Source organism: Homo sapiens, chromosome 6 (genome assembly GCF_000001405.40).
Source record: "Homo sapiens chromosome 6, GRCh38.p14 Primary Assembly".
Taxonomy (NCBI): domain Eukaryota; kingdom Metazoa; phylum Chordata; class Mammalia; order Primates; family Hominidae; genus Homo; species Homo sapiens.
Genome location: NC_000006.12, coordinates 85,579,256 through 85,598,434, shown reverse-complemented (window position 1 = coordinate 85,598,434; position 19,179 = coordinate 85,579,256). Strand labels below are relative to the sequence as shown.

General features: G+C 41.0%; 1 protein-coding gene across 44 annotated transcripts in view, besides 7 other annotated features; it reads left to right on the top strand.

The window, feature by feature from the left end:
* Window positions 4,285-4,404: an enhancer, noted in NCBI's record as "active region_24789". NCBI's record gives its function as "activates an Ori minimal core promoter by ATAC-STARR-seq in GM12878 lymphoblastoid cells {active_cell/tissue: GM12878}" and the evidence as "EXISTENCE:reporter gene assay evidence [ECO:0000049][PMID:35858748]".
* Window positions 4,285-4,916: a biological region, named in NCBI's record as "H3K27ac hESC enhancer GRCh37_chr6:86303237-86303820".
* Window positions 4,333-4,916: an enhancer, noted in NCBI's record as "H3K27ac hESC enhancer chr6:86303237-86303820 (GRCh37/hg19 assembly coordinates)". NCBI's record gives its function as "activates a minimal SCP1, AML or CMV promoter by ChIP-STARR-seq in naive H9 embryonic stem cells {active_cell/tissue: H9 hESC(naive)}" and the evidence as "EXISTENCE:reporter gene assay evidence [ECO:0000049][PMID:30033119]".
* Window positions 4,435-4,654: a silencer, noted in NCBI's record as "silent region_17367". NCBI's record gives its function as "represses an Ori minimal core promoter by ATAC-STARR-seq in GM12878 lymphoblastoid cells {active_cell/tissue: GM12878}" and the evidence as "EXISTENCE:reporter gene assay evidence [ECO:0000049][PMID:35858748]".
* Window positions 4,577-19,179, top strand: part of SNX14 (sorting nexin 14) — an 88,363-nt gene continuing 73,760 nt past the window's right edge. For 23 of the 44 annotated variants that reach the window (NR_146779.2, NR_146776.2, NR_146777.2 and 20 more), the window contains exon 1: window positions 4,577-4,856. Coding sequence is in view for 15 of the 44 variants with exons in the window: in XM_047419121.1 (XP_047275077.1) it covers window positions 4,717-4,856 (140 nt within the window). In the remaining 29 variants the exon portion in view is untranslated. Of the gene's footprint in view, window positions 4,857-5,334; window positions 9,573-17,176; window positions 17,240-19,179 lie in introns of those variants that run through there. The other 21 variants (NR_146774.2, NR_146775.2, XM_047419128.1 and 18 more) reach the window with 4 other exon arrangements.
* Window positions 4,715-4,884: an enhancer, noted in NCBI's record as "active region_24788". NCBI's record gives its function as "activates an Ori minimal core promoter by ATAC-STARR-seq in GM12878 lymphoblastoid cells {active_cell/tissue: GM12878}" and the evidence as "EXISTENCE:reporter gene assay evidence [ECO:0000049][PMID:35858748]".
* Window positions 4,917-5,500: an enhancer, noted in NCBI's record as "H3K27ac-H3K4me1 hESC enhancer chr6:86302653-86303236 (GRCh37/hg19 assembly coordinates)". NCBI's record gives its function as "activates a minimal SCP1, AML or CMV promoter by ChIP-STARR-seq in naive H9 embryonic stem cells {active_cell/tissue: H9 hESC(naive)}" and the evidence as "EXISTENCE:reporter gene assay evidence [ECO:0000049][PMID:30033119]".
* Window positions 5,501-6,086: an enhancer, noted in NCBI's record as "H3K4me1 hESC enhancer chr6:86302067-86302652 (GRCh37/hg19 assembly coordinates)". NCBI's record gives its function as "activates a minimal SCP1, AML or CMV promoter by ChIP-STARR-seq in naive H9 embryonic stem cells {active_cell/tissue: H9 hESC(naive)}" and the evidence as "EXISTENCE:reporter gene assay evidence [ECO:0000049][PMID:30033119]".

Here is a 19,179-nt window from a genome sequence, read left to right as displayed (position 1 = left end):
TCACTGTTCTGAACCAAGCCTGGTTGCATGGTGGTTTTTAGGACAACAGTGAAGAGCTTTAATTTTTATGTTTTGGGAAATAGCTTGTGAGAGGTAAGAAGGATTGCAAAGTTTTTCCAAAATATTTTATGAAGTTAGTGAAGTCAGTTGAAATGTGTATTTAAACATTTGAAGGGATACAGTTAACATTTTTTTAATGAGAGGAAACCATTGTCTGTAGTTCAGAAATAAGATGGAGTGTTTTACTTATTTAAGGGGTAATTTAAAAAGTAAACAAAAGCATTGGCCTACAAGAGAAAGGTGATGTTGGATTATAAGTGCTTTTTCTAATCGTTAATATTAATCAACAGGTGAGTATATTTTCCGTTTCCAAGCAGTTATTAATTTACATTTTCTCAAATTATAAGTAGCTTCCTGCTTCTCCAAAAGTGAGGCTTAAGAGGATGGCTATTTCATCATAAATTAGAAAAACGACTACAAATATGAAATGGTTAATTTTTTGGTACTAAGATAATGAGACCATCCAGAATTTTATGATCAAAACATGGCTTTTACCCAGGGAGTATCTGTAGTTGAGCCACTGGCTCTATAACATTGTTAGTTCTTTGTATTTTCCCAATGGAGGTTTTACCTCATGGCCATAAAAATAAAAGAGGGTTGAATGTGAAAATAACTGCATTTTGAACATCTCAGACCCTCCACTCATAAAAATTACTTAATGTTCCTCTTCCTTGAATTACATATTTTCCATTGTAATAAATTCCTGTTTTGAAAACCAAGGAAAGGAACATTTTTTGAAGAAAGCAGTTCAGTGGCCTCTTTAACAGGTTTATCAAGAGGTTGATATGTAGGGATAGGTTGTGGGGGAGAAGAGGGTGCTATGAAATGTAAAATTAAGGATGTAAAAATAACATTAGGGATGCCACAAAAGGTGAAATATAAACCATGATCATTTGAGACAAGGGAAAAACAGGGCTTTGAAAATGCCTGTCATGTGATAGGAGGCATCTGTAAGGGAGAGACTGAAATGGCTCCCAGGGGTAGTATATCCATCCTCTTCCCGATATACCTGTGCCATACAAATAATGACCCTCAACACGTTAAAATGTGGTTTACATTAAGGGTCATCAGAGTTTAGGCCTAATTTCTGCAATTCAGGTATTCATCATTACCTTGCAAACTTACTGTACCAACATAAAAAGCATTTTGCTGGTGTGGCGGGGAGAATCAGGTTAAATTAAGTAGAAGCATTTTGGAAACTTTGCCTAGTACTTCATGACTTTTGAAAATTATAAGTGAAAACAGAGATAAGTCCTATTCTTCGCTCACATTATTTCCCACAGGCCTTTCCAGATCCTTATAGCTAAAAATTTCCCTTTTGCCATTAACTGTCATTAAAAAAAAAAAAAAAGATTACAGTCTTTATGTATAAAACCGCTGCCCTTTATAACATTTTATGTGACTTGTTTGCTTCACTAGATTGTAAGCCTTTGGAGGTCAGAAAAAAATGCATCTAAATGTATCTGCCACCACATCTAGCACAGTGCCTTACACTTATTTGCTATTCAATAAATATATTCATTAAAATAATGGACATATTACTGGATTGCAGTTTAATGTCTATGAGCCCTTTAAATGCATTATCAAATTTTTAACTTTTTATAGTTTGTCAGTGTACACCTAGCACATATGTGACCTTTGTAGCATTTATAAAAGATTTACACATTTAATTGTACTGGCTCTCCACAGCTAGCAGAGTCTATAACAGTACAGTGTAGTAGAAATATAATGCAAGCTACATATGTAATTTTAAGGTTTCTAGCTACATTAAAGTAAAAATACTTTAAGGCAATTATTTCCAAAACATTTAATATGTAATTGCCTTAAAACTAATTTTAATTTACATTTAATACAGTTTTCATGGTAAGTCTTTGAAATGTGACAGGTACTTTACACATCACAACAAACCACATTTCAAGTGCTCCCTGGCCACATGTGGCTACTGACTATTGTATTGGACAGTGCAGATGTAGAACTTTAGCGTAGGCAGTCAGCCTTTCTGGACCTCAGTTTTCCTAGAAATCAGGTATTTAATATGTCATTTTCATTTTAGATTGTCGTAATCCAAATAAAAGCTAATTGGTTTAGCTCATTATTGTCATGTTCATAAAGCCATAAAATTTGAAAAAAAAATTTTGTCTTAAGCATTGTACAGAGATATTTAAGAGGCACTTTCCAACTTTCCACCCATTTTAGCCCCCACCCCCCACCTGTTTTATGAAAATAGCTCTGTTTTAGAGTTGAGGTAGGAGTGAGATAGATCAAGTTAATCTTGCTAACATGTTGCTAGTAGGAGATAGAGCTAGTTTCAGAACCAGGGTTGGTTGATTGTGGATATTCCATATAACCTCTCCAAAGTTCAGAACTTAACAAGGTTGGGGAAAAAATTTCGAGCTCTGTGCGTGTAAAGGTGGGTTCTAGACCATAGGCTAAAGACATGTAATGAAATAAAGGTTATTTCCTTAGATGAGGTCCGTAGTGACAGAAATTGAATTATGTTTCATGCTTTAGGTGTGGAAATTCTCTGCCATAAAGAATTTCCTTATGGCTGAAGTTTATTATATTTTTTTTCCTTTTCTAATCATAAGAGCAATTTGGAAATTTAAATTATCTATTGTCCAGTTAACTTATTCTAATTGCCTCTAAGAAATCAGATGGGAAAGAAGTCTTTTAATTGGATGTTGTAGTGATGTCTGTTTTGAACAGAACTCAAAACATTTTGTCTTTAAAATATACTGGCTCTTGGTGAAAAGAGTAATTTCAAAATAAGGCTTTAAAAGGAAGCAAAAGTTTTAAACAAAAGGCAACATAATTTACCAGGCAGGTTAATAACTTACATTATTTGTCATGAGATTAGTTTTTTAAAAGGTAATTTACAAAAGTGTAAAGCACTCAAGTCCATAGGAGGCACTTGATACATGTAGATCCACTCAACATACACCTATTTTAGTATTAACAGATAAAGATACTTAAAAACTGCCAAAGTGAAATTAATAAATGTTTAAATATGTACCTAGAAATATTAAAAAATGGTAAGCTTTCCAATGATGTTACACTGTAGTCTTTTAAATGGTTTAGTCACAAACAGAAAAGTGTATTTGTGATGTTTAGACAATAATAGCTAATCGTGAGGATCAGTGAAATTGTTTACTTTTATACACCACTGTGGAGTTGGTACCACCATTCTACAAAGCAGTTTGACTGTATCAAGAATGTTTGTTTTTACCCTTTGACCCAGTAATTGTATTAAAGTTGATTCTAAATAATTAGAAATGTGCATAGGTTTATCATCAAGGATGGTAATATCAATGGACTTTAGTGGTTAGCAATAATGGAACAGGATGGTACATTCTGATAAAGGATAATAATGCATCATTAAAGATCCATGTTTTTGTAATACGGGAAAATATTCATGAAACTACATACATCATTAAAAAACATTTGTTTCCCCACTTTGAAGGATAAGATCCTAGGAAAGAGAGATGACAGGCACAGGCTCTGTCTTTAGAACGTGTTCAAATTCCGGCTTTGTTAGTTTTATGATCCTAAGTTCCTTTCTGTCTCAGTAATTTGCCTGTATAATGATTGAAACTATAGTACTGTACCTACACCATGGGGTGAATGCATGAAGGTCAAATGAAAGTGCTTAGTGTCTGTACCGCCTAAGTAAATTTTCGCGATAATAGTCTTCCTGCATCTCTCACTGTAGCGGACAATACAGAAAAAAAAATTTAGAAATGTGATGAATTAGTAAAGGGAAAACCCCATGAGACTCTATAAGAGGGATTTTACCTAATCTGCCAACCTGCCTCTTCCAAGCACTCGGATTTTGGTTGGGCTCCCGGAGCCGGCGTGAATTGAGCTCTACCCTTGCCCGTGAGCGCGCAAAAGAGATTTTGTTGGTGGGGTGGCGGCCTGATGAGTTGTAGTCTTTATTCTAGGGCTGTTTTACTCGCCACCCCCCCAGCCCCCAACACACCCCTTTTAAAATACCGACTCAAAGGCGTCCTCCTATCCCCCTCTCCCTTAGGCGTCACGCAAAGCTCGGACCTGCTCCCACCCGGAGCCGAGTGTACGGTGAGGCGCGGAGCGTTGCGGGGTCGGGGAAGCGCTACCACCCGCTCCATCCCTCTGCGGGTTCGTGTCACGAAGACTACAGTTCCCAGCGGGCTCCACGAGCTCCGGTTGCCCCTCAGGCAGCGCCCGGCGGCTACGGGGGTGCTGTAGTTTCTTCCGGGCTCCCTACAACCTTCTTCCCTCTCCTCCGCAATACAGGCAGTTACTGGGTGCTGGGGCTGTCCTTTGATTTCCGGAAATGGCCGGTCGCCAGTGTTGTCAGAGTTTCCACGGAAGACTGCGCGCTACTCCGGCCAGGAGGGCGGAGCGGCGAGACGCTAGAGGCTTTGCGCTGGGTGACGACTTCGGGCACGTTCTACGGCCGTTCCTCTGGTCGGCTGGGGACCGCGGCCGCGCACGCGCGGCGGGGGGCGTGGGGCTGGGCCCAGCCGGACGCGACCTCAGCCTGCGGCGGCTAACTGCCGGTAGGCGTCTGTGTGCGCCGCCAAGTCGGTGGGGCGGGGACGCGAGGTGTGGATGGGGGGTCGCCTTGACCTCTGCCTCAGCCAGTAGCGCAGTCTCGGCCTCGCCGTTACGGAGATGGTGCCCTGGGTGCGGACGATGGGGCAGAAGCTGAAGCAGCGGCTGCGACTGGACGTGGGACGCGAGATCTGCCGCCAGTACCCGCTGTTCTGCTTCCTGCTGCTCTGTCTCAGCGCCGCCTCCCTGCTTCTTAACAGGTAACGCCGCAGCGCGGAGCCTGGGCGGCGGCTTTTCTCCGAAGGTGCAGACGCCCGGCCCGTGCTGCTTAACCGTGCGGAGGCCGCGTAGCTGCGGGACTGGGGACCAGTGGGGAGAGCGAGCTCCGCAGAGGAGCGGCCTCGGGGAGCACGGCGGAGCGTCGAGGCCGGAAGCACAGGCCGGTGGGGTGGGGTTGATTGCCTCCTTTCCCGAGGCTTCGTCTCCTGAGCTACCTTTTTCTCATCCATTTCTCAAAACGAGTTCTTCATCTTCGTTGCTTTTCAAAAGTGAAATCCGTGTGTCGGCTCAAATTGAGACTGTACACAGGCAGTCAAGTCAGCTGACGGAGGAGTGTTCAAGGTCCAGTTCGTAGCCGCAATTTTAGGCAGAATCCGCACACCTGCAGCGCGTTCTTCCATCTCCCCACCTCCCACCCCCTCAGCTTGCAGCTGAAGCTTTTCCCGCAGTATTGTTGAATAAAACAGACGATCATAAAGATTTGTTGGACAGAAATCAGAAAGCAAAGTGGTACCCGTCCCAACATCCTTAGAATTTTTTATTTTTGAGACGGAGTCTCGCTCTGTCACCCAGGCTGGAGTGCAGTGGTGCGGTCTCGGCTCACCGCAAGCTCCTCCTCCCGGGTTCACGCCATTCTCCTGCCTCAGCCTCCCGAGTAGCTGGGGCTACAGGCGCCCGCCACCACGCCACCACGCTACCACGCTAATTTTTTTGTATTTTTTTTTTTTTTTTTTAGTAGAGACGGGGTTTCACCGTTTTAGCCAGGATGGTCTCGATCTCCTGACCTCGTGAGCCGCCTGCCTCGGCCTCCCGAAGTGCTGGGATTACAGGCGTGAGCCACCGCACCCGGCCACATCCCTATAATATTCTTAAGAGGACTTGATGCCACCCTCCCCAAAAAAACCTGAAATATTCCGAAAGGTTAAAATTGATAAATTCAATTGACATTTTGAAATCAGAAGATTCTGCCCCCGAAATAAACTTGTTTTACTTCATTTTACTATTTCAAGAAATTGTTGCGATGCAATAGGTAGTAGAGGAGACTTTTCCATTAAAATTAACACCAGATTTGCTTTTGGTGGAAAGAAATCTGAGATAGTTCTCATTGACAGCATCCGCAAGCTGTTTTCTCTGATGTTTTGAACAGGCAACCATTCTTACTCTTTATCTTAAGGTAGTTGATTCCCAAGGATAGCAACAGGGAGGAATGCGCAAGGAATTTGGTAACTTCATTTTTCTCTGGTGTAACCATTATTTGTGACTATGTTGAAGTTAGATTTCTTCCCTAAAAGTGGCCTTGCTTTCTTGTTGATTCTTGGTTTAAATATTATTGAGCTTAAATAGTAGTTGATGTTTTACTGAGAAGTGTGCTCTGTGATGGTGAGATGTTTGAACTGTAGGAGTGTGGGAGAAGTGGGATCCTTAACAGAGGGAACACTAATTATTATTTGCTTTCTGTCATCTGGAAGGTATTCCAAGCTAGACTAACAGGTTTAGTATGAAAGAAATGTAAGCTTCATATGATTTTTATTTTTATTTTTATTTTTGAGACGGAGTCTCACTCTCTTGCCCAGGCTGGAGTGCAGTGATGCGGTCTCGGCTCACTGCAACAGCCACCTTCCAGGTTCAAGTGATTCTCATGCCTCAGCCTGCAGAATAGCTGGGACTACAGGTGGGCACCACCATGCCCGGCTACTTTTTTTACATTTTTAATAGAGACGGGGGTTTCACCATGTTGGCCAGGCTGGTCTCGAACTCCTGATCTCAAGTGATCCACCTACCTCAGCCTCCCAAAGTGCTGGGATTACAGGCGTGAGCGACTGCACGCAGCCCATATGATTAACTTTTGTCCATGGATTCTTACCTACCTCTTTTGGGAACTGGGTCAGTTTAGGTTTCTAAGGTAGGAGAGCCATCTAGTAGGAGCAGGTTAAACTAGATTTCTGAGGTCATCTACTTATGGTCATAACATTTAGTGTTGTGTGTTATTAAAAAGTCATAGGATGCCATCTGATCTGTATACCATCTAACCTGTACCCTGTATTTCTTTTATGCAGAGAAGGTAGGAAATACAGGTAAATGTTACCTGAGTGGTTGGGTTTATGAGTGAAGCTGTTTTTGCATATGTTTTGGTGTTTTCCATTTGTTACTGCTGTAGTCAGCAAAAGTGATTTTAAACACTAGAACTGTCTTGAATAAAACCATGATTATGTATCCCTTTTCCAGGAAAAATCTTTTGGAAGGTGCCAGATGGTGTATGTAGCATGCTTTTCAGTGTATATGTGTGATTAAAAAAAAAAAAACTTATGTGTGTATTCACGTACACACACACACACACAGATGATAAGAGTATCTCTGAAATGTTGTTATACAAGAAAACATGGGCCCTTCTGAGATGGGGTATACTAGGTACATCTATTCTGAAATAAAAAATAATTTTATATGAAGTTGATCCTTGAACAGTGCAGAGATTAGGGCCACTGACCCCTATGAAGTCAGAAATCCGAGTGGAATACCATGGGATCCATACAAAGTACCACTAATGATACTGGGAGTACTCCCAAGAAGCAGAGAAAAGTAATGACATTACAGAAAAAGTGAAATGCTTGGTATGTACTATGGATTGAGGTTTGCAGCTGTGATTGCCTGCCATTTCAAGATAAATAAATTGAGTGTAAGGACCATTGTGAAAAAAGAAAAGGAAATTCATGAAGCTGTTGCTGCAGCTATGCCAGCAGGTGTGAAAACTTCGTACTTTTTGCAAAGTACCTTTTCATGTTTTATTGAAAATTTAGCTTTTATGTGGGGGCAGAATTGCTATGAGAAAGGCATACATATAAACTAATGCTATTCAAAAACAAGTGAAGTCATTGTATAACAGCTTAAAGCAGAAGGAAGGAGAAGGATCTAAAACTGGGTAATTTAATGCCAGCAAAGGATAGTTTGATAATTTTAGGAAGAGATCTGGCTTAAAAAATGTCAAGAGAACCGGAGAAAAAGCCTCTGCTGACCAACAGGCAGAAGATGAGTTCCCAAACACCATTCAGAAAATCATTGAGGAGAAAGTATTAAATATATCTTCCTGAGTGGGTGTTTTTTTGTAAAAGCAAGTTTATTAAGAAAGCAAAAGAATAAAAGAATGGCTACACCATAGGCAGAGCAGCCCTGAACAAGCTTTTAATGCTGATGAAAGTGACCTGTTTTGGAAAAAATGTCACAAAGGACATTTATTAGTAAGGAAGAGAAATGAGCACCAGGATTTAAGGCAGGAAGGTGTACGCAAATTCTTCTATTTTATGGATATGCAGTTGGGTTCCTTGTCTATGAAGTGTCTAACCCCCGAGCTTTGAAGGAAAAAGATAAGTACCAGCTGCTAGTCTTGTGGTTGTATAAGGAGGCCTGGACAACAAGAATCATTCTTTCTGGATTAATTTCATTGATGCTTTGTCCCTGAAGTCAGAAAGTACCTTGCCAGCAGGGATTGCCTTTAAAAATTCTTTTGATACTGGACTATGCCCCTGGCCACCCAGAACCCCATGAGTTCAACATCGAAGCTGTGGAAGTGGTCTACTTGTCCCCAGACATAATGTCTCTAATTCAGCCTCTAAATCCAGGGGTTCATAAAGAACTTTAAGGCATTACACATGGTACTCTATGGAAAGGATTGTCAGTGCTGTGGAAGAGAACTCCAATAGAGAGAACATCATGAAAGTTTGGAAGGATTACACCATTGAAGATGCAGTCATTGTTATAGAAAAAGCCGTAAAAGCCATCAGACTTGAAACAATAAATTACTAGTGGAGAAACTATGCCCAGGTGTTGTGCGTGACCTCACAGGATTTACACCAGAGCCAATCAAGGAAATCATGAAAGAGATTGTGGATATGACAAAAAAGGTCTTTCAGCATAAGGATCTTACAGAAATTCAAGAGCCAGTAGACATCACACCAGAGGAATTAACATAATATAACTTGATAAAGATGAGTGCTTTGGAACCAGTGCTAGACAGTGAGGAAGAAGACTTTGAAGAAACAGTGCCAGGGGCCAAATGCAGTGGCTCATGCCTGTAATGCCAGCATTTTGGGAGGCCAAGGTGGATGGCTCACTTGAGCCCAGGAGTTCAAGCCTGGGTAACACGGTGAAACCCTGTCTCTACAAAAAATACAAAAAATTTAGCTGGATGTGGAGGTACACGTCTGTAGTCCCAGCTACATGGGGGGCTGAGGTGGGGAAGATCAGTTGAGCCTGGGATGCAGTGAGCCATGATGGCACCACTGCACTCCAGCTGGGATGACAGAGTGAGACTCTATCTCAAAAAAAAAAAAAAAAAAAAAGTGGTGCCAGAACACAAATTGACAGTAGACAATATGGCAGAAGGTTTTCAATTATCAAGACTGCTTTTCACTTCTTTTATCACATGGACCCTTCTTTGATACTGGCACTGAATCTAAAGCAAATGGTAGAAGAAAGATCAGTACTATATAAAAATGTTTTTAGAGAAATGAAACGGCAAAAAGTCGGGCAGAAATCATGATGTACTTCTATAAAGTCGAGTGTGCCTGCCACTTCTGCATCCCCTTCTACCTCTTTCACCCCTGCAATTCCTCAGACAGCAAGACCAACCCCTCCTCTTCAGCCTACCCAGTGTGAAGACAATGAAGATGAAGACCTTTGTGATAATCCACTTCCACTTAATAGTAAATATATTTTCTCTTCCTTATGATATTCTTAATAGCATGTTGTTTTCTCTAGCTTACATCATTGTAAGAATACAGTATATAATACATATACAAAATAAGTACTAACCAACTATTACTGTATTGGTAAGGCTTTTGGTCAACAGTAAACTATTAGGAGTTAAGTTTTGGGGGAGTAAAAAGTTGTATGTGAATTGTTGACTGCGGGGAGACCAATGTATATTGTCTTTATCTGATTTAGGAATTAAAATTATATTAGCCCATTTATTTATTTATTTATTTATTTAGAGACGGAGTCTCGCTCTTTGCTCAGGCCAGACTGCAGTGGCGCTATCTTGGCTCACTGCAAGCTCCGCCTCCCGGGTTCATGCCATTCTCCTGCCTCAGCCTCCCAAGTAGCTGGGACTACAGGCGCCCGCCACCGCGCCCGGCTAATTTTTTTTTTGTATTTTTAGTAGAGACGGGGTTTCACCGTGTTAGTCAGGATGGTCTCGGTCTCCTGACCTTGTGATCTGCCTGCCTCGGCCTCCCAAAGTGCTGGGATTACAGGCGTGAGCCACCGAGCCTGGCCTTATTTATTTTTTTGAGACAGTCTCAGTCCATCACCCAGGCTAGACAGTGGCATGATCTTGGCTCACTGCAACCTCCACCTCATGGGCTCAAGCAGTCCTCCCACTTCAGCCTCCCAGTAGCTGGGACTATATATAGGCTGAGCTAATTTTTTAAGTTTTTTTGTGTACAGACGAGGTTTCACTATATTGCCTAGGCTGGTCTCAAACTCCTGACCTCAGGAGATCCACTTGCCTCTGCCTCCTAAAGTGCTGGGATTACAGGTGTGAGCTGTTGTGCCTGGCCTAGCCCTTTAAATGAGCAGTTTCCACACACACCCTGCCCCCCGCTCCTCCCCTGCTGAAGCAGTTTGTATAAGGTATGTATCTGTTTCATGAAAGTTTGGTAAAACCATTTGGGCCAGGGGCCTTTTATTGGCAACCAGGATTCTAATTACTATTTTAATTTCTTTAATGATAATTGCTCTATTCAAATTCTCTAATTTTTCACTTACTAGTTGTTGCATTTTTATCTTTTAAACAATTTATTTAAGGCGGGGTTTGGTGGCTCACGCCTGTAATTCTAGCACTTTGGGAGGCCAAGGTGGGAGGATCACTTGAGCCCAGAAGTTCGAGACCAGCCTGGGCAACATGGCGGAACCCCGTCTCTCCAAACAAGTAGTTGGTCATGGTGGTGTGTGCCTGTAGTCCCAGCTACCCAGGAGGCTGAGGTGGGAGGATCACTTACTTGTGCCTAAGAGGTTGAGGCTGCAGTAAGCTCTGATCATGCTACTACATTCCAGCCTGGGATGACAGAGCGAGACTCTGTCTCAAAAAAATTTTTTAAAAGTTATTTTATATAGATTTTCCATGTATTAATATATAGTTGTTCATAGTCTTATTTTTTATTTCAGTATAGCTATGGTTACTTTTTTCATTCTGTGTTTTGTATATTTGTATCCTTGATCTGTCTTGCTAGAGGTTTGTCTTTTTAATTAACTTTTGATATTGAAAATTTCCAAGCATACATAAGAGAGTGTAAAAAACTTGCAAGCACCCATTACTCAACTTTAACAACTATCCATATTTTGCCATATTTTTTTTTTTGCCTTATCTTTTTAAGAAATGTCTTATAGAGTGGGTGAGGTGGCCCATGCCTGTAATTCTTGCTCTCTGGGAGGTGGAGGTGGGAGGATCACTTGAGGCCAGGAGTTGGAGATGAACCTGGGCAACATAGAAAAACACTGTCTCTCTCTCTTTCTTTTTTTTGAGATGGAGTCTCACTTTGTCACCTAGGCTGGAGTGCAGTGGCGTGATCTTGGCTCATTGCAATCTCCACTTCTTCAGTTCAAGGAATTCTTGTGCCTCATCCTCCCAGGTAGCTGGGATTACAGGCATCCACCATCATGCCTGGCTAATTTTTGTGTTTTTAGTGGAGACTCCCAACATGGGGTTTTGCCATGTTGGCCAGGCTGGTCTCAAACTCCTGACCTCAAGTGATCTGCCCACCTCGGCCTCCCAAATTGCTGAAATTATGCACCTGGCCAGAAAGACCCTGTCTGTACCAAAAAAAGAAAAAAAAGTAGCGAGCCTATGGTCCTAGCTAACTCGGGAGGCTGAGGTGGGAGGATTCCTGGAGCCAAGAGTTCAAGGCTACAGTGAAATATGATTGTGCCCCGACACTCCAGCCTGGGTGACAGTGCAAGACCATGTCTCTATAAAAGATAGAAATAAAAAAAAAATCACTTCCATACAAAACTATAATATTACAAAATTAACAATAATTGGTTAATATCATCTAATAACTACTCCATAATAAAAATTTTCCCTATTGGGTAAAAATATATAGTGCAGTTGTTCTAATTGGTATCTAAACAAGTTGTACTCCTATTTGGTTCCTACATCTCAAGCTTTTCTAAATGTCTTGTAATCTAGAATAAGGGTTGACACATTTTTTTCTGTAAAGTGTTAGGTAGTAAATATTTTAGGCTTTGTATACCATGCTAAGTCTCTGTTGCTTATTCTTCTTTCTAAAAAACCCTTTAAAAATGTAAAACCTTTCTTAGTATGAGGGGCATACAAAAACAGGTATACTTTTGTCCACAGGCCATCATTTGTCAACTGCTGATCTGGAAGATCCCTCCTCACCATTTTTTTCTCCTTGCCATTGACTTGTTGAGGAAACTGGATCATTTGTTCACATTCTGGATTTTGTTGTGGTTTCCTTGTAGTGTCTTGTATTTTAATCCTCACATTTGTATTTTTGGTAGTCACAGTGTTTGATCTATAGGCTCAATTAGATTTAGTTTTTTTTTTTTTTTTTTCCTGTTGCGGGGAGTGGTGCAAGAAGACTTTAGTGATGCCATGTACATTCCATTGCATCACATCAGTGGATATGTAAGATAGGATTGCTTCACTTTTAATGGGTTCAGTTAATGTCCACCGATACTGTGTCCAACAAACTTACTCTTTGGTTTTACCATTTATTTATTTCTTGAATCAGTTACTTAATTATGGGTTACAACATGGTTATTCTCGAATTCTCTCATTTCTTCTGTATTTTTAAGTTTGATTCTTTTTTGTAGAATTGCTTTACTCCATCCGTTAGGTCTATTTAGTTATTCTGATAGATAGTTCAAATTGGAAAAGTAGGATAAATGCTTACTCTTTATCAATTTTTAGAGTAATAATTGGTACCCTACTAACCTCCATTAGTATCCAGTTAGAAGTTTGGTTGTTTTATTAATTTTTTCAAAGAACTAGCTTATATTTTGTTAATTTGTCATTGTTGTCTATTTTGTTGATTTCTGCTCTTGACTATTTCCTTCCTTTTCATGTGTTTGGATTTATTGTTTTTCCCCCCAAGTTTCTGAATGCTTAGCTTATTGGTTTTCAGTGTTTTTGTTGTTGTTGTTGTTTGTTTTTTTTTAATTATACTTTAAGTTCTGGGATACATGTGCAGAACATGTGGGTTTGTTACATAGGTATACATGTGCCATGGTGGTTTGCTGCACCCTCAATCCATCATCTACATTAGGTATTTCTCCTAATGCTATCCCTCCCCCAGTCCCCCACTCCCCAGCAGGTCCTGGTTTGTGATATTCCCCTCCCCTGTGTCTATGTGTTCTCATTGTTCAACTCCCACTTATGAGTAAGAACATGCAGTGTTTGGTTTTCTGTTCCTGTGTTAGTTTGCTGAAAATGATGGTTTCCAGCTTCATCCATGTTCCTGAAAAGGACATGAACTCATCCTTTTTTATGGCTGCCTAGTATTTCATGGTGATAGTATTTCCAGTCTATCACTGATGGGCATTTCGGTTGGTTCCAAGTCTCTGCTATTGTGTATAGTGCTGCAATACACAAACGTGTGCATGTGTCTTTATAGCAGAATGATTTATAATTCTTTGGGTATATACCCAGTAATGGGATTGCTGGGTCAAATGGTATTTCTGGTTCTAGATCCTTAAGGAATCACCACACTGTCTTCCACAATGGTGGAACTAATTTACACTCCCACCAACAGTGTAAAAGTGTTCCTGTTTCTCCACATCCTCTCCAGCACCTGTTGTTTCCTGACTTTTTAATGATCACCATTCTAACTAGCATGAAATGGTATCTCATTGTGGTTTTGATTTGCATTTCTCTAATGACCCGTGATGATGAGCTTTTTTTCATATGTTTGTTGGCTGCATAAATGTCTTCTTTTGAGAAGGATCTGTTTGTATCCTTCGCCCACTTTTTGATGGGGTTGTTTGTTTTTTTCTTGTAAATTTGTTTAACTTCCTTGTAGATTCTGGATATTAGCCCTTTCTCAGATGGATAGATTGCAGAAATTTTCTCCCATGCTGTAGGTTGCCTGTTCACTCTGATGATAGTTTCTTTTGCTGTGCAGAAGCTCTTTAGTTTAACTAGATCCCATTTGTCAATTTTGGCTTTGTTGCCATTGCTTTTGGTGTTTTAGTCGTGAAGTCTTTGCCCATGCCTGTGTCCTAAATGGTATTGCCTAGGTTTTATTCTAGGGTTTTTATGGTTTTGGGTCTTACGTTTAAGTGTTTAATCCATCTTTATTTGATTTTTGTATAAGGTGTAAGGAGGGGGTCCAGTTTCAGTTTTCTGCATATGGCTAGCCAGTTTTCCCAACACCATTTATTAAATAGGGAATCCTTTCTTCATTGCTTGTTTTTGTCAGGTTTGTCAAAGATCAGATGGTTGTAGATGTGTGGTGTTATTTCTGAGGCTTCTGTTCTGTTCCATTGGTCTATATATCTGTTTTGGTACCAGTACCTTGCTGTTTTGGTTACTGTAGCCTTGTAGTATAGTTTGAAGCCAGGCAGTTTGATGCCTCCAACTGTGTTCTTTTAGCTTAGGATTGTCTGGCTATATAGGCTCTTTTTTGTTTCCATATGAAATTTAAAGTATTTTTTTTTCTAATTCTGTTAAGAAAGTCAATGGTAGCTTGATGGGGATAGGACTGAATCTATAAATTACTTTGGGCAGTATGGCCATTTTCACGATATTGATTCTTCCTATCCATGAGCATGGAATGTTTTTGCATTTGTTTGTGTCCTCTCGTATTTCCTTGAGCAGTGGTTTGTAGTTCTCTTTGAAGAGGTACTTCACATCCCTTGTAAATTGTATTCCTAGGTATTTTATTCTCTTTGTAGCAGTTGTGAATGGGAGTTCACTCATGATTTGACTGTTAGTCTGTTATTGGTGTATAGTAATGCTTGTGATTTTTGCCATTGATTTTGTATCCTGAGACTTTGCTGAAGTTGCTTATCAGCTTAAGTTGATTTTGGGCTGAGATGATGGGGTTTTCTAAATATACAATCATGTCATCTGCAAACAGAGACAGTTTGACTTCCTCTCTTCCTATTTGAATACGCTTTATTTCTTTCTTTTGCCTGATTGCCCTGGCCAGAACTTACAATACTGTGTTGAATAGGAGTGGTGAGAGAGGGGATCCTTGTGTTGTGTCAGTTTTCAAAGGGAATGCTTTTTGCCCATTCAGTATGATAATGGCTGTGGGTTTGTCATAAATAACTCTTATTATTTTGAGATAGATTCCATGAATACCTAGTTTATTGATAGTTTTTAGCATGAAGGGGTGTTGAATTTTATTGAAGGCCTTTTCTGCATCTATTGAGATAATCATGTGGTTTTTGTGATTGGTTCTGTTTATGTGATGGATTATGTTTATTGATTTGTGTATGTTGAACCAGCCTTGCATTCCAGGGATGAAGCCGACTTGATCATGGTGGATGTGCTGGATTCGGTTTGCCAGTATTTTTTTGAGGATTTTCGCATCGATGTTCATCAGGGATATTGGCCTGAAATTTTCTTTTTTTGTTGTGTCTCTGCCAGGTTTTGGTGTCAGGATGATGCTGGACTCATAAAATGAGTTTGGGAGGAGTTCCTCTTTTTCTGTTGTTTGGAATAGTTTCAGAAGGAATGGTACCAGCTCCTCTTTGTACCTTTGGTAGAATTTGGCTGTGAATCCTTCTGGTCCTGGGCTTTTTTTGGTTGGTAGGCTATTAATTACTGCCTCAATTTCAGAACTTGTTATTGGCCTATTCAGGGATTCAACTTCTTCCTGGTTTAGTCTTGAGAGGGTGTCCAGGAATTTATCCATTTCTTCTAGATTTTCTAGTTTATTTCAGTAGATGTGTTTATAGTATTCTCTGATAGTAGTTTGTGTTTTTGTGAGATCAGTGATGATATCCCCTTTATCATTTTTTATTGTGTCTATTTGATTCTTCTCTCTCTTCTTTATTAGTCTGGCTAGTGGTCTATTTTGCTAATCTTTTCAAAAAAAAAAATCGGCTCCTGGATCCATTGCTTTTTTGAAGGTTTTTTTTGTGTGTGTCTCTATCTCCTTCAGTTCTCGTTTTCAGTGTTCTTTATGTCTGATGAATATAGGGTTTTTCCTTTTTCTTTCAGATTGAAGAACTACCTTTAACATTTCTTGTACAGTAGGTCTGGTGTTCATGAAATCCCTCAGCTTTTGTTTGCCTGGGAAAGTCCTTATTTCTCCTTCATGTTTGAAGGGTATTTTTGCTGGATATACTACTCTAGGGTGAAAGTTTTTTTCCTTCAGCGCTTTAAATATGTCATGCACTTTATATCCTATGTCTCTCCTGACCTGTAAGGTTTCCACTGAAAAATCTGGTGCCAGATGCGTTGGAGCTCCATTGTATGTCATTTGTTTCTTTTTTCTTGGTGCTTTTAGGATCCTTTCTTGGTATCCTTGACCTTTGGGAGTTTAATTATTACATTTCTTCAGGTAGTCATCCTTAGGTTAAATCTGCTTGGTGTTCCTAATCTTCTTGTACTTGAACATTGATACCTTTCTCTAGGTTTGGGATGTTCTCTGTTATTATCCCTTTGAATAAACTTTCTATCCTGATCTGTCTCTCTGCCTCCTCTTTAAGGCCAGTAACTCTTAGATTTGCCCTTTCAAGGCTATTTTTTCAATCTTTTAGTTGTGTTTTGTTATTTTGTTCTTTTGTCTTTTCTGTGTATTTTCAAATAGCCTGTCTTCAAGCTTAGTAATTCTTTCTATTACTTGATCACTTCTACTATTAAGAGACTCTAATGCATTCTTCTATATGTCAGTTGCATTTTTGAACTCCAGAATTTTTGCTTAATTCTTTTAATTATTTCAGCTTCTTTGTTAAATTTATCTGATAGGATTCTTTATTCCTTCTCTGTGTTATCTTGAATTTCTTTGAGTTTTCTTAATACAGCTATTTTGAATTCTCCATCTGAAAGGTCACATATCTTTGTTTCTCCAGGATTGGTCCCTCGTGCTTTATTTAGTTTGTTTGGTGAGCCATGTTTCCCTTCATGGTCTTGATGCTTGTGGATGTTTTTCAGTGTCTGGGTATTGAAGAGTTATTTATTGTAGTGTTTGCATTCTGGGCTTGTTTGTTTCCTGTCCTTGGGAAGCCTTTCCTGGTATTCGAAGGGATTTGGGTATCATCTATGTTTTTGGTCAATGCAGCCATATTTGCATTAAGGGGTACTGCAAGCCTAGTAACGCTGTGGTTCTTGCAGACTTACAGAGGTACCTCCTTGGTGGTGTTGGATAAAATCTGGAAGAATTCTCTGGATTACCAGGTAGAGTCTCCTGTTCTCTTCTCCCACTTTCCTCCAATCAAATGGAGTCTCTCTCTGTGCTGAGCTTCCTGGAGCTGGGGGAGGGGTGACACAAATAACCCTTTGGCCACCAGGAGTAGGAGTGTGCTGAGTCAGACCTGAAGCCAGCACAGGCGCTGGGTCTCATCCAAGGCCCACTGTAACCACTATCTGGCTACTGACTATGTTAGGGCTCTATAATCAGCAGGTGGTGAAGCCAGCCAGGCTTGTGTCCTTCCCTTCAGGGTGGCAAGTTCCCCTGGATATGGGGTGGTTCCAGAGATGCCATCCAGGAGCCAGGACCAGGAGTTGGAAACCTTAGAAATCTACCTGGTGTTTTATTCTACTGTGGCTGAGCTGGCACCTATACCACAAGACAAAATCCTTACCACTCTTCCTTTTCCCCAGGCAAAAGAGCCTCTCTCCGTGTCAACTACCACCATAAGCCCATGGGAGTGCTGCTAGACTCTATCAATCTAACTACTACTGTCAATGTTTACTTAAGCCCAAGGCCTCCTTAGTCAGCTTGTGGTGAATGGTGCCAGGCCTGCAACTCACCTTTCAGGGCAATGCACTCCCCTTTGGCCCAGGGTAGGTCTAGAAATGGCATCTAAGAGCCAAGGCCTGGAATTGGGGACCCCAAAAGCCCTCTTGGTCCTCTACCCCACTGGCCAAGCCGGTACCTGAGCTGTAAGACGACATCCCCTTTACCTTTTCTTCTGCTTTTTTGAAGCAGAAGAAGTCTCTCTTTGTAGCCATCAGAGCAGTGAATGTGCTAGACACACCTGAGGCCGGCATACCTCAGTCTTACCCAAGACCTACTGTGTGAATACCTGGTTACTGCTGCTGTTTTATTCAGTCCAAAGTCTCTTTAGTCAGCAGACGATGAATCCTGCCAGGATGGGTCCTTCCTTTAAAGGCAGTGGGTTTCCTTCTGGCCCAGGGTGTGTCTAGAAATGTTGTCTGGGAGCTAGGGCCTGGAATGAGGGCCTCATTACTCTGCCCAGTTCCCTGTCTTCCTGTCCCTGAGATGGTATCTAAGTTGAAAGACAGAGTTATCTTTACTTTCCCCTCTCCTCTCCTCAAGCAGAGGGAAAGGGTCTCTTTCGGACCTGCAAGCTGCACTGCCTGGGACTTGGAGAGGGGTTTCACAAGCCTTCCCTTAGCTGCCTTGGTAAACAAAATAACCATAAGGAGAGAGAGAGGCAGAACAAGATCGCCAGATAGAAGGCTCTCATCATCCTCCCCACAGGATGTCTCACTAGTTCACATGCCCTCCAAGTCCACTGGCTTTGAGCCCCAGCACAGTAGTAGGACTTGCCTAGGCGTTACAGTCCTTGTGGCCTAGACTGCCTTTCAAGTTTACTTAAGACCTTTCAAGTTTATTTAAGAACTCAGAGCACTTTAACCTGTGGTGTCAAGGATTGCTGAAACTCAGGTTTGGACTACTGGGATGAGCAGTTGCCCTCTGGCCAGGACATGTGTAAATGACCTCTTTTTGGGCATCGGCTAAGTTCTTCCTGGTGTTGGCAGCACTGAGTTTCAGTGCAAATTCTCACAATCACTGTGTTGTCCCTCTCTCAAGCCGTGTGCTTTCCTTTGACATGTGGCCACTTCTGGGGGCTGCAGAAAGGGTATTGGCAATTTCAGAATTGCCTTTGCTACCCTCTTCCATGCCTCTTTCAGCAATATGAAGTTAAAATCATGTACTGTGATCAGTCACCTGGTTTTTGATTCTTATGAAGGTTTTTTTTGTTTAGATAGTTGTTAAATTTGGTGTTCCTGTGGGGAGGATGATGAGAGCCTTCTATTTGGCTATCTTGTTCTGCCTCTCTCTCTCCTTATGGTTCTTTTGTTTACTTTTTTTGCTTTTTGCTTGGCTGTCATTTCAGTTATCTCTGTAGTGAACAGGTATTTTTCTT